Source organism: Homo sapiens, chromosome 13 (assembly GCF_000001405.40).
Source record: "Homo sapiens chromosome 13, GRCh38.p14 Primary Assembly".
NCBI lineage: Eukaryota > Metazoa > Chordata > Mammalia > Primates > Hominidae > Homo > Homo sapiens.
The window spans coordinates 35,827,915-35,842,147 of record NC_000013.11 but is presented as its reverse complement, the minus strand read 5'-3'; the positions used below and the strand labels follow the sequence as shown (position 1 = coordinate 35,842,147).

Genomic DNA, 14,233 nt, shown 5'->3' with positions numbered 1-14,233 from the left:
ACGCCATTCTCCTGCCTCAGCCTCCCGATTAGCTGGGACTACAGACACCCGCCACCATGCCTGGCTAATTTTTTTTTTGTATTTTTAGCAGGAGAACTTCCTTTATTTTGCCTCCCATTAATGATGAAGGGCTGCCTCAGGAAGTAGTATGTTCAGTACTAGAAGTATTTGGACAGAGGCCATCTGACCACCCACTGGGATTTCTGTAGGGGGCATTTGGTCTCTGAATGGAAGTGGGGCAGAATAGGTAATATTTAAGGTCCATCCCAGTCCCCCAAACTCTTTGAATCAGCGGATGGTCACCATCTTGGAAAAGTATTTAGTATTAACTATCTTACTTCTTTGGGAAAAAAGAGATAATACTATTAGAAGTTTAATACATTTATTTTACTGTCTTTGAGCATAATAAATAAAATGAAAGCTTTCCATTTTCAGAGAACTCTGTATGACCGTAAGTACGTTTTTCTCTTGACTGCCCATCATCTGTTACTCTCAAGCAGCAGAAAATTTGAAATGACTTGGGATACATTTTCAGAAACACAAAAATACAGTTGTAACATTGAAAATAAGCAGTTATAAACATAAGCAAACTTGTCTTAACCCTACTTTTTTTTCCTTTTTTTTTTTCCACCAGAGCCTAAAATCCTTGAGAGATTTTTGTTCAGAAAGCAGAGAAAACCCAGCTGGCATTGTGACAAGCATTCAGGGATCAGCCATTTGGTGGCACTGTTAAATCCAATTCATTAGTTGATAAGGCGGTTGAGTGAAAGCCCACAAGTTTATAGAATGTTACAGTTTAAAAGATGTTTTCATGTACTATGGGTCAGAGCTCTGTATCGAGTACCTGATGTTCTTACTAAAAGAACAAGCTTTTGGGACTGAGTGTCTAAATTGTGAACATCTTTGCTAGGAAACATGCTACTGCTCTATTAATTTGGTGAAAGAATGTGTCTTTGTATTCTAAATTTAAAACGCCACGTGACAAGGCAGCACCTGCTAGCCTAAACCACACCATGTGTCTCCATTATGAAATACCATTTGTGCTGCTGCTGGAAGAAATTCAAGGTCCAGAAAGCCCAGAAGAGAAGGTCTACATTGTAGACATTTACTTAGTGCTTTTCTGTTTGGAACACCATTATGTCTGCAGCAAAAACAATGACCCAGAGGATGAAGGATCTCACTGTTCTGGAAAACACACACCTTCCCCTCAAATGTGGTTATGTTTATTTTCTTCGGTTATTGACATAATAAATCTGCCTTGTGTCAGCCTCATACTGCAATATTATAAACACAAGGTTTTCACAAAAAGATGTCCATCCATAAAAGTCAGCAGAGGGTGGCTTAGAAGCTCCTACATTTATAGTCCCTTCCACAGTGTGGGTTATGGGTACATAGTGTCACACTAAGAAAAACTCTGTGTCAAGGTGACAATCTCAATCCGTTTTTGTAGCCTGACATATGACAAATGTGTGCTGCTGGTTACAAAAGATAGAAAAACAGCTCAAGTCACCAGGCTTACTGAGGGGGGATTTTTATAGTATTGGAAAATAATGGGCACATTACACAAACTGTGTAGTATTCAGGGGTATACAAGGGTCATCTCTCAACTTTTAGCCTGTTCTGTAGAAAAGCAGGTGTACTATTGCTATTACTTTAACTTTCATCCCAATGGTGTCAACTGTGAGCTTTGATGAACCTGACCAATGGGACATGCTCATCTTAGTCACACCCAGGAAAACGTTCTGTGATGTTTGACTTAGATGGCTCTGCAGTGACTTAGGCAGCATTTCCCCAACTCTATTAATCTTTTTAATGAAAACTAAAATCTTTGAATCTCCTATGCAGGATACTGTAGACCATAATGAAATTACATCAAACCTCTTTCCTCCTACTTTGTACATACTTTAAGGCTGAATGGGTTGGGGAGGAGGTTGAAGGGAAACAGGTAAGCAGAGGAAAAATAGGTCAGCTTTGCTTCTCGCCACCTCTTCATTATTAATTCAACTACAGATGCTCTTTCCCTTCTCTCTGCTCCACAGACAGCCGGCACCATGAGCCAATGCCGCCCGCCCCCTCACCGCCTCCTGCTCCCATCAGGCCAACCAAGTGGATAAACCCAGGGAAACAGAAGGAAGATCTTTTAGGACAAGCTGTGTTCACTATTTAGAAATAGCATTGAAATGTGCAAATTGTTTTCTCAGGAAATAGATGCAGAGATGGAAACATTCATTGTTAAAGTACTGCCCCATAGCCAATCATAATATTAAATATTTGGTACTGTTTTTTCCTCTGAGCTCTCTCATACAGTTGTTACCCTGTTTGCTTTCATGGATCTTGGGTCAAAAATCAAACAAAATTACAAGGCCTAGGCTTTTATTGTTGTCTTTACTTCAGACTTATTATGTAACGTTTAACAAACCAATAACCTACTCAGTGCTTATGTTTTGATCTCAAGATGGAAATGACAACCCCACTCTTTAACCTTTCTCCTAAAGTTGTGGTAAGGTGGAGCATTTAATTTTTTTAAGGATATTTTATAAAAACAAACTGAAGAGAAATGTTTTCTGTCAGAAAAATAGAAAAAATAGTGGATGGGATCAGTATAGTGCCACATTTGAGGGCCATTTGCCGATAGTCTGTGGAAGAGTGAGGTGAGATGCCTGAACTCTGCCAAACCCAAACAGCGAGCTAAAGGACCCCGATTTTGAGCAAAAGGAATAAGAAGTCACGGAACATTCAAGTTCACAATAACCAGCTTGATCCTGTTATCACAGTCTATTCTTGGTTAATAGGGAGAGAGGGAGATGTGGCCCCAGTTGAATATGCTGAAGGCGTCTTTTTCCAAGTGTTAAGATCAAATCCTCCCTAGCATGGGCAAAGTTTTCTCCTGAGATTCCGGGCTGGGCATGGTCCCTGGAAACTCAGGCATTCTGACCCAGTTTTTGAATTACCGGTTTCTGTTCCCCTACAGAGCTCTCAGCATGGCGGCTCCTCTACGTCACTTGCGTCCACCAAAGTCTGCAGCTCGATGGATGAGAACGATGGCCCTGGAGAAGGTGATGAGCTTGGGACTTGGTATCTGAGGAGGCAGAGGATGGGTTGGCTAAATTTACTCCAAGAAACTGTGGCTTCTCAAGCGGAATGACATGGACAAGGCTGAGCAGCTCCTGAGGGTCAATCACAAGGGGATAGGGTTGAATATGGTGCCCACCAGGGATTGGTATCTGCTCTGTGAGAATGGGAAGGGGAAGTTGGCCCATTTCGGAGACATTTCCCATCCTCTGAGGGCATATGTATCCTAAGAAGGCCAGCTATTGCCTGCTTTGGAAATAAGAGGGGATCGCTGGGATCGTGGCTGCTTTTGTTTTCCCAAACTCTGTTCACTTTTAGTGTTACTTTAAGTGAACAAAGGCCAAATTTAAAGACAATTTATTCTTTTGACTGTTGTAGTCTCACAGATGTACTCTAAATTAAGTGAACTCAATACATGAAATATGGTTTTACAAAAAGAATTGGTGGAAATTGCAAAAATATTCTTGAGGTAATTCACTGCAGAATGTCTCTGTGATGTGGTCAAATGATCAGGATTCCAGAAATGACTTTTTCACTAACTCACTGGATTGTTTTGGACAAGCATTTTCAACTCTCTGCGTCTTACTTCCTCTCCTATGAAATGGAGATTGTGAATCACACCTATTTCCTTCCTGAAGGCTGTTACCAGGTTCAAATCAACTGTGGGGAAGTATTTGGAAAAGATAAAAGTGATACCATCAAGCCACTGTTAAGGAATCTGCTTCTCTTACTTGTTTTAAATGATATGATTTAATTTTTTTTCCGAAAAAAGTACCCTTTGGGAAGTGCTTTTATTATATTCAGTGAAATATGTGATTTACAGTATAATTATTTTCTGACTACAATGCAACTTCAGAATTTTTTGTATTTCCAGAAATATGAAATTCAGCCACATAGAAGTCTCATTTGTTCCAAAGTGTTTTGTATCCTTTGAATGAAATGAAATGGTTCTTGATTTAAGCCTTTGGCTAAGCCTTTTTTTTCTTTTCTTTTCTTTTCTTTTTTTTTTTGAGATGGAGTCTCGCTCTGTCTCTCAGGCTAGAGTGCAATGACACTATCTCAGCTCACTGCAACCTCCACCTCCCAGGTTCAAGCAATTCTCCTGCCTCAGCCTCCTGAGTAGCTGGGATTACAGGCGTCTGCCACCATGCCCAGCTAATTTTTGTATTTTTAGTAGAAATGGGATTTTTCCATCTTGGGCAGGCTGGTCTCAAACTCCTGGTCTCAAGTGATCCAACTGCCTCGGCCTCCCAAAGTGCTAGGATTACAGGCATGAGCCACCACACCCAGCCTGGCTTAGCCTTCTTAACCAAAAGTGAGGAAAGGTACCTTTTATGAATAGTCAAGGAAAAAAAATCCCAAGCCACGTGCTTTGAATGGGTGTCTCAGTGAATGCTCCCACCAGAAGGCAGAATGGAAGTACCTTCTTCCATTTCCCACCTGCAGGGTCACACTTGTACCCAACAGCCAAGGAGGGTTCCTTTCTTAGCCACATAGTAAAGAGCCTTAAGATTGTGTCATCTGGGAGCTGTTTTGTAAATTTGGGTGCTTTGCAGTAGACAAAACTCCCCTGGCTGAGTCCTTCAAACAGAGGCAAAATTGTGGCTTCTTTAGAGGGGTGAGATGGGGTTAGGGGGATTGGCTGCAGCCCTCACTTTATTCTAGAGACCACCTAGATGGCTTCTAGCAGGGTAAGAGGGAAATGTCACCTATAAAGGGGTGAAGAGGCTGTACCAATGCCAAGGACAAAAGTAGCAGCAGCAAATGTCCTACATTTGTTCAACGCTTTCCAGAAATTTCATCCCCTCTAGAATTCAGATTGATGCCAACTGAGCATCATCATAAATCGAGAAGAAAGGCCCTCATGCAGATATCTGATGATTATGAGTCTCCAACAATACAGAGCAAGCATGAATACAAAAACTACTAAGAAAGCCCATTCACCACCTAAAGTTTTATTTTGAGGAGAGATGTTTAGTCTCAGTTTATGACGAAAGGTCGGAAGAGGAGTGCATTTAGAAAACACACCGGGGTTCCATCACATTTTGCATTCAGGTTGCCTGAGGGAGAGCTGGGATTTATCACTTTAAAACATGTACATTTTAGAGCCCAGCTATAAAAGACTTTTTACACCCTTAAGATGTTAAAGGTTATTCAGTATATTTACGTGACCTAACTGTGGCTTATTTAGTTTTATGGCCTTAGATATTTAAAGCATTATTAGGCATTTGTAAAATATTTCAAAATGCATTTTCAGGGGGAAAATGTGTTGTGTTAGTGGCACTAACATAATTGAAACTACAAAACTGTTCCATTCACAGACATAATAGATAGTGTAGTTTTAACTCAACATCTGCTATGCAGATTGCTGGTGAGAACATTTGTCTAAAGTCTGCTCGTTGATACCGAGGACGGGTGGCCATCAGTGCTTAGTTCATGAGGAATTTTACGGAGATTTCCATTTCAGGATGTAGTAAAACTAAGTGTCCAAACAGCAGGCAATTTTCATGCTTGTACAGTGTCAAGCAGCCCAGAGTCCCTTGCGAACTGCGGTTGCCTCCTGCGCCATACATGGGAATGCTATTTTTCTGTACACAGTGGGTATTCAGTAAACACTATTGATCAAATTGGCGTGAAGTAAAAGGAGCAAAGCTTCCTCCTGAGAATCCCTACGGCATCAGAAAACTCAAGTTTCTCTTATATAGGTGGGAGTGGACCCCTTACGTTTCTTTTTATTTTATCATTTGTCTTAGTAAAAACTGTTGAGTATATACAATGTCAGCAAGGGTGGGGAGGCAGTTGCCTCACTGTACAGAGAATGACATATTGATTCTGAATCCATTCCAGTCAATTAGATGATACTTTTAAATGTTTCCTTGTGCAACATCTGTGTTCCCTTTTCAACCAATAAAAAAGTATTAATGATTCTTTCAGAAGTGTCGGAGGAAGGCTTCCAGATTCCAGCTACAATAACAGAACGATATAAAGTCGGAAGAACAATAGGAGATGGAAATTTTGCTGTTGTCAAGGAATGTGTAGAAAGGTGAGAAGGATATCATTTGCATCAAACCTTAAAGGTTACATTTGGCGTTATGTTTTCCAAGATTGTGTCTCTATTTCCAGTCTGTGGCACATATGGAATAAGTTAATGTCTCAACCCCAAATGCAAAAGAATTTTTTGCAAAAGAAAGACCCATCTAACAACAGATTTGAAAAATGTAGTGATACCTGGGGACAATCTATAAATTAAAGACTTTGATTTTTTTAAATGTACTCAGAGAGACGTTGCCAGCTCTTTCAGGTAAGCCTTTTTATTGTTGTTAAAAACCATATTGAATAGTTTTTCTCACACACTTTTTATGACATTTTGTAGAGGTCAGAAAGTTCTTGTGAGAGTATATGTCTGTAATGCATACTAGCATAGGATGAAATACATACACGATCATCTTGAAAAGCTTTAAAATGCATATGTATTGACCCCAACAGAAGTGGTATTTAACACATTAAGACGTATTAAAATGAATGAACCCGGTACTCTGTGGCCCAAAGGGAAGGGTTTATCCTGAGGTTCTAGATACCTAATGGAGGACGTTAGCTGGTGGCTACTAGACGGAAAAGTGACAACTGATAAAGTTACAACCCAGCTACGGGGGCCTCAAGCCCTCCACTCGGTATCAGATTTGGGTTTCTTTTCCTGAGCAGCTGCTTGCTTTAGGGGAGCTGGTCAGCCAGCAGCTTCTCCTCAGGGCTGGTGGGCAGAATACTGCAAAGTTGGGGGAACTTGCCTCATTCCTTGAGGGACTGTGTCCTCTGGCTTTCTGGGGGCTGGACTGGGGGGTACACACTTCCCTGTCACCTTTCTCTGCCCGCAGTGGGGCTGGACACCCTGCCCATTCTTAATCCTCCGAGAATCACACTCCTAAGCTCCACTCAGAGAGGACGACTGAGGAGAGAAGACAGATGAGAAGGCTTTGGCCTGGAAGATCTAGACCTTGCCTCCTCTACAGGCTTTGATTTAGAAGCACAGGTTCCTGCCATATCAGAGCTGGTAGTCTCTACAGGGCCCCACATCTCATGAGGGTTCTTCATTTGGCCAATAGTCACTTATGTGCTCCTGGCACCCCTTGCGGCTCTTTGGAAGCTGCTTCCCCAGCTCAGGTAGCAGAGTCCTCCTTATGGACCTTTGTGCAGAGGATCTCAAACCTTGTTCTACTCCAACACTTCAGCAAGGCTAGGATATTCCCAACAGGGACAGAGACCCAGCTGAGCAGCCACTGTGCATCCAGGAGGGGCACGAGTCATAGGGAGCTTGAAAAATCTGTGAGTTGATGCTGCCAGGCCACCGTTCTCCTCTCTCCCTCTCATTCCCCCACCTCTCCACGAAGCTTGGCCATTTGGCACATTTGTGCCAAACATGGAAAATGTCCATTGCATTCCTGGGCCTCACACCTCCCAAAGCAGGAGCAACCTCATTTTGCTGAGCATAAACTATCTACAAAGTCCTTAATTTATGACATTTCATTTAATTAACACAATACTTTCATAATATCAGTATTGTTGTCTCCACGTTATAGATAGAAAACATGGACATGTTAAGCGCCCAAGGTCAGTCAGGTAAGAAGTACTTAGCAAGACATAGGTCCGAGCCCAGCTCCAAAAACCACACTTTTAACCACTTTACTCCACTAATAAGGAGCCTCCCATAAGACTCTGGCTTAGCTGAGCCAAAATCACACACGTTCCCTTTGGCCCTGTACAAATAAGACTAATTAATTTGGGAAAGCCATTCCTATGGTAATGGATAGAAGCGTGCATGCAAATAAATGTGTGCTTATATAATTTTATATTTCATTGATGCTTTTACTGATAGTAAATCTGGCTTTTTTTGGCTTTATTTCTACTGTAGCAGAAAACCCCATTTCTAGCAGATTGCCATGCCCCTGAGCTGTGGGGTGTCTGGTGATTTGCCAGCATCTATCATCTGTTAAGTCTGACATGGTGGCATGTGCTGTTTCTCCTAGCTAGTTCTTGGATTGGGCTGGTGTCTTGGTCCAACAGGACTGGCCTTCTCACAATAGAAATTTCCCATTTCTCCATCCAGAATCAATTTGTTTCTTTCTAACTTGGATTGTGTTTGTTTTGCGTGAGTTCACATCTTGGGTCTCACTGTATGAAACTTCAGAACCTAAACACCAGATTGCTCCATGAAGTTAGTATTCGGCTCCTGCTGAACGAGGACATATGGCATGTGCCCTCTGTCCCCAGAGGTATCAGAAAACATTCTTCTAATATTTTCCAGAGGTCCAAGAAAATAAAAAGCGAGCTAAGAATGTTGTGAATGGCACACATTGCTTGCGGGTACATTCTGCTGTGTTTGGAAGGATGAATATGTATTACCAAGGGTGAATATGCCTCTCCTCTGCTAATCATATCCTGTCACAGGCAAGATTTGTCTACAACAATGGACACAATAACGATGTCTTTCTGTGGTCCTGTTCCGGCATAGTCTTTGGCAGCTAGGTCCATTTAGATTTCTGCCCATGCTCCAGGAGTAACTTCTTGAGTGGCCTCTGGGGTACCTGGGACATACTAAAGGAAGTTAGTGGACTGTGACTCCAGCTGGAAGAGACATGCTCTACTTTGAAGCTGTTTCGTGGAGCATTTTGAGGCCCCATAGCAAACTCAAAGAGCAGAAAAGCTCTAATGAGCGGTCAGAGCATAAGTAGAGGGCGTGATGTGAGATGCCTTTCATCCCTAACTTTCCTGGCTCCGTGTGGACTAATAACTACACGAGCCAAGGGTTGGGGTGATATAGTCATGAGCAGGGATGGTGCCCCCGGTGGCTCTTGGTCGTCTTCCCCACCTGCACTGCTGGCATTGCTTAGTGATATAGGCACCAGAGATGAATTAAAATCCTTGCTGCGGATGCTTCTGTCTCTCCCACCGGCACCTATAAGCCTGAGGATGTGTGCCCCAAGCTGCTGGCTCTAGCAATGAACACAAGCAGGCTCAAATCCAGCAGAACAAGCAGAGATCTTAGGGTCACCAAAATGCATTGCTTCCACCTAGAAAATCTTCAAAATTCTCAATAACCTCAACAAAGCGACCATGTGTCTATAGTTTGAAAGCATTTCCATCAGAACTGGAATTTGGAGGATGCCTTGTGCTGAAAGCTTAGATCACTGCTCTTGGCTAGTGGATTACTGTTCTTCCTTCTTTCCTTCCTGAGGAGCCTCTGGCTCCTGAGAGCCATGGGGCCCTTGTCAAATTCAAAATCAAATTCCACTTGGGAGCTGTCTGACAAGACACTGTGGAATGCCTCAGTTCTCTGCTCTCTGCTCTTGGCAGTTATCTCTTTATGGAGGAGGCTGAGATTGGGCTTTGTTAGGATTACTTGGTAAACAAACGGTGTGTTACTAACTCCTTTTTGCTAGTGTTGAGGGTGGTATTCCTGTCATTGTGCTAACTGCCACCATCCTCTGGAGTTTCCACAATATATGCAGAGCACCTCCTAGTTCAGGCTTATGCTGGGCACTTCTGGGGTTACAGAGAGAGACAAGACACAGCCCCATACAGAGAACTTTACCCACAAACAAGGATTGCCATGAAATTCAATGAATGCTATGGGAGAGGAATGCTTGGGAGCTGCTTTTCCTTCTCCATATACTCTTTTTCTAAATCCTTCAAAACATAGCAAACAACAGCAACAAGAGAAACCATGTTAGCTTAGAGCATCCCAATCTTTGCTAGCCATTTCCACACCACCACCTTTTTTTGACACAGGGTCTTGCTGTGTCACCCAGGCTGGAGTGCAGTGGCAAGATCATAGCTCATTGCAGTCTCAAAGTTCTGGGCTCAAGTGATCCATTCTCCTGCCTTGGCCTCCTGAATAGCTAGGAGTATAGGTGCACACCACCATGCCTTGCTAATTTTTTTGTTTTTATTTTTTGTAGATGGGTCTCACTATGTGGCCCAGGCTGGTCTCAAACTCTTGATCTCAAGTGATCCTCCTGCCTCGGCCTCTCAAAATGCTGGGACGACAGGTGTGAACCACCATGCCTGGCCCATTTCTTTTTTTGACAAGCATTCTGCTACACTCCCTGGGTGAGGGGTGCAGTGGGCAGAAGACTGGCCTGAGTTGGGAATCACTCAGTTGAACAAGACAGCTGTCTCCAAACCATTTTTAGCACAAACACCAAAAGTTGGATTTAATTAAAGTTTGTAAAATTTGAAAATTTCCCTCTAGTAGTTTGGGTTCTAACCTTGGGTCACACTTAATAAGAAGGCAGCCTTACAAATTGATTTCCCTTAGTCAAGGAGGAAGACAAAGTTTTCTGTTGCTGCTGGTTTTGTTGTGGTAAAGAGGGTTCTGTAAAAGGTCAAGAACATAATTTCAAAAACAAGCAAGCAAACGGCCTGTATTCACCTCACCAGTAATCAGTCAGGTCATCTAGTATTCTTCTGAGTACACTCAAACATAGACACCTTAAAGACAAGGATCAGGTCTCGTTCCCCTCTGAATCCACCAAAGAGCCCTGCGTCCCACTGCTGAATAATTACACAGGCACAGCAGTCCTCAGAGTTCGAGGTATGCAGGAAGGCGAATTCATTATATAAGATTCGATTTCTTGCCAAGTGTTTTCACTTAAAGCAGACACTTATATTCTTATTCTTATGACACACATTTAGTCTCCTAACACCTGTTTTCAGGCACACTTTCTAGACTAGCTACTTTCCTATAAACCTGTGATTCTAGGAATTAATTTTTATTATGTGGCTTTTATTATGGATTTTATTATGTGGCTTTGTAGTTCGGCCCTCAGGGAATCAAAAAAGAAAAGATGCAACATTAATTTGGTGGTCCTCTGTGGAGCTCATTGTCCACTATGAAATATGAGTAGATGTAATGGAAGGTTTAATCCTATTACGAAAGGTTGTATAGTGGAAATCCACAAGGTCTTTGTTCCTAGTAAGCCCTAGGTTTGCTGCCCTCTTCCCCTCAGCTGTAGGCTCAGGACAGAACCTGCTTCCTTGGCCTGCTGGGAGCCAACACACCCTCTGGCTCACTGGGGATCCTGCTTCTTGTCTGGCTGGCTGTAAAGGGGGTTCAGCCCTCCTGTGCTCTACACCAGCCCTGAGGATTGAGTGCTTTAAAATTACTCCTTCAAGGGAAAAGAGCATCAAATGGCAAACATGGGGAAATCACCAAGCTAAGAAACCACTTTCTCTTCTGACCAGCACGGTCCTGTCCATCCATCCCCTTTGTGGAGGTGGTGAAGGGAACGGCAGCTTTTATTTTTCAGTCTCACAAACATCCCTTCTTGCTCTCTGGCCTTGCCTGGGATTGCTGATGGTTACCCAGGCAGGCAGTGCAATGGTCTAGATTCCCTGCCATCCAATGGGACATGTTAAGCCAGATAGGAAATTGCTCATGTATTCCAACCTGAGATTTGCTTTATCATAATTTTTTAGTAATTTATGAAAAGCAGAATCCAGAAACACTTGAGCTTTTAGTTTTCCTCGATTAAGTATTTTCAAGTTTGTAGACAAACTCTACAGGAGCCTCTTAAGAAGAAGCTACTTAGAGGGACCCTGTGGTCTTATAGGATATAGAGCTTCTACAATGAAGAATCTCTTCACACGTGAATCATTTCACTTTCTCATTTTCTCATTTATGTTTGCTCTTACATTTTAAATTTCTCTGTCGCCCAGGCTGGAGTGCAGTGGCATGATCTCGGCTCACTGCAGCCTTTACCTCCTGGGCTCAAGCAATCTTCCTGCCTCAGCCTCCCAAGTAGCTGGGATTACAGGCACGCAACACCATGCCTGGCTAATTTTTGTATTTTTTTTTTAGTAGAGTCAGGGTTTCACCATGTTTACCAGGCTGGTCTCGAACTCCTGACCTCAAGTGATCCGCCCACCTTGGCCTCCCAAAGTGCTGGGATTATAGGCATGAGCCACTGCCCCAACCCACGTTTTAAATTTCTAATGTTAAATATTTGGTTTACACTCCAGTGCCTTCTCCTCCTCTACCCCACAGTCTTGCTGGTGGTCTAGTGTTTATGTGGGAACATCTAGCACACCAAGCCCTGCATTTAGCCACAGCCTGGCTCACATCCCATCATGGCCTCTCTGCCCAGCCATGGCAGAGTCTTTGTTGAAAGATCAACAGAGACAGTGGCAGGGGCATCCTTGGGCTTCTAGTGCATTCCCTTCCTGAGTGACAGCTATGGGAATTCCTCTGGACAGCCGCATATCTGCAGGAGGGGAGCCCCGAAGCAAAGGGTTTACCTTCTACCACCTGAACCCCAAAGCCCTCTAGTGAGGAAAAGAGGCTTCGAAGTCATCATCTTGTGATTTTATTCAGCAGATAGAATCATAATTCAGTGTTCACTGTTTTTTGAGGCCGGCACCATGAAAAAGCCTGGAAGTGTCATGGAAGAAGCATTTTTAGGAGTAAATGACATGAAAAATTTCTAGAATGCCCTCAAAACACATTAACGCCTGGTCTCTTGATTCGCTTAGAGGCAAATCATTTTCTTGCTGTAACCATATAACCAGGAAATCCCACTTAATTCACCATACTGAAGATTTTAAAGTCCTATTTTAAAAGCATGTTCTTAATTAACCTCATTACTATTTGTGTCCATTGGATCCACAAAATTGGCTTTTATCTATAGGTAAAAAGCTAGGCTCTCCCGATTTCACACCAGAAATAAAACAGCAATGCTTGTGAAATCGTGGTTTACTATGATTATGAAGTATGCATTGTGCCCTTTAATAATAGACGTGTTCTTGTGTTTGTCACTACAGTTTCTTAGCAATGTTAGCACAAATCAGGAAGCTGTTTAAAGGTAGCGATACGACTAAATCCTTCCTCCTACACCTATCACAGAGGAGGGGCGGCGTTCACTGTGCTATGCAGGGAGCAGGGGCCTGGAGAACTCAGAGTCCAATTTTAAAGCTGCCATGTGGCTTTGGGAAGTGAGTGGATTTCCACTGTCACCTTCATTTTCTTTCAAAGAAATGAGACAGCCCATAAAAGGGCCCAGGGGTCCCCAGGGAGCTCTGAAATAGATTTTATCCCTTTCTTTACACCTTGACCATATCATCTATGAGTTCTCCAGCGGAACTCACACAGGCTCTCACACTGAACTGAGGTCTAAAGAGCGTGGAGTGCTTTCTCTAGAGTCTTCAGTGTAATTGCATGAACATTCAGAAAACTGTCATAGGTGCCCTGGGTGGATAGAGAACCTCAGGAGAGACTTGAGGAAAGGGGAAGGGCGGAAACTCATCTCTGCTTTAGGCTGCTGCTACATCACTTCGGAGGGAAGGGGAGGGAAGAGTAACCTGGCAGCAGGAGAAGCTAAGACACACTAGCAATGCTAGTGTTTTGTTTTGAGAGCAGGAGTGGAAGTTTATTAGAAAGTTTTCCAACAGTAAGAAAAGGAAGGAAAGTACACTTGGAAGAGGGACAAGTGGGCAATTCGAGGAACAAAGTGCCAGTGCTAGTGTTTTTATTACAAGTACGGCAACATAAATAGCCCAAGATTTCTCTATGCCAGCAGACTTACTGTCCTTACACTTGGTCAGTCCATCAACGTTTACATATTTATTTGTTTTTTTTTAAAAAAGGAAAGGAAATCCTTTCACAAAATATTTACAACATGATGCAAGATCTATGGGGTAGGAAATTGATCCCTGACAAAATAATTCAATAGATTTGAAGTTAAGTTTCATTTTAAAAACATGAACTTTCTCTTCGCAGATCGACTGCTAGAGAGTATGCTCTGAAAATTATCAAGAAAAGCAAATGTCGAGGCAAAGTATGTATAAAATTTGTTCTTATGAGATAAGAGTGTTCAAGAGGTCAAAAGAAACACAAAGATCACTCCCAAACAAATACAAGTTCACCCTAAGGGTTGAATTTTGGTGGAATAGAATGTTATACACTTACTAGAATATAACTTTATGTATATCCCTGGGATAAAAGTTATTTGGAATGATTAGATATGACTTCACTTCCTTATCTTTTTGTTTGCTTACTCTCTTCCCTTCTTAATGTGATCTAAGTTTCATCCCATTCTTTGCTATGAAACTGTAGTTATCATGATTGGTTCTGAATTTGCAAGCATTATGTAAGGATCTCCATATCTATTGG

At 42.5% G+C, this 14,233-nt stretch overlaps 1 protein-coding gene across 6 annotated transcripts in view; it reads left to right on the top strand.

Annotated features, from left to right (window-relative positions):
* The window catches only part of DCLK1 (doublecortin like kinase 1), a 363,288-nt gene that overhangs the window by 289,792 nt on the left and 59,263 nt on the right, over positions 1-14,233 (top strand). For all 6 annotated transcript variants that reach the window (NM_001330072.2, NM_001330071.2, NM_004734.5 and 3 more), the window contains 3 exons: positions 2,972-3,056; positions 6,007-6,115; positions 13,841-13,898. In NM_001330072.2, the coding sequence (NP_001317001.1) occupies positions 2,972-3,056; positions 6,007-6,115; positions 13,841-13,898 (252 nt within the window). The remainder of the gene's footprint in view (positions 1-2,971; positions 3,057-6,006; positions 6,116-13,840; positions 13,899-14,233) is intronic.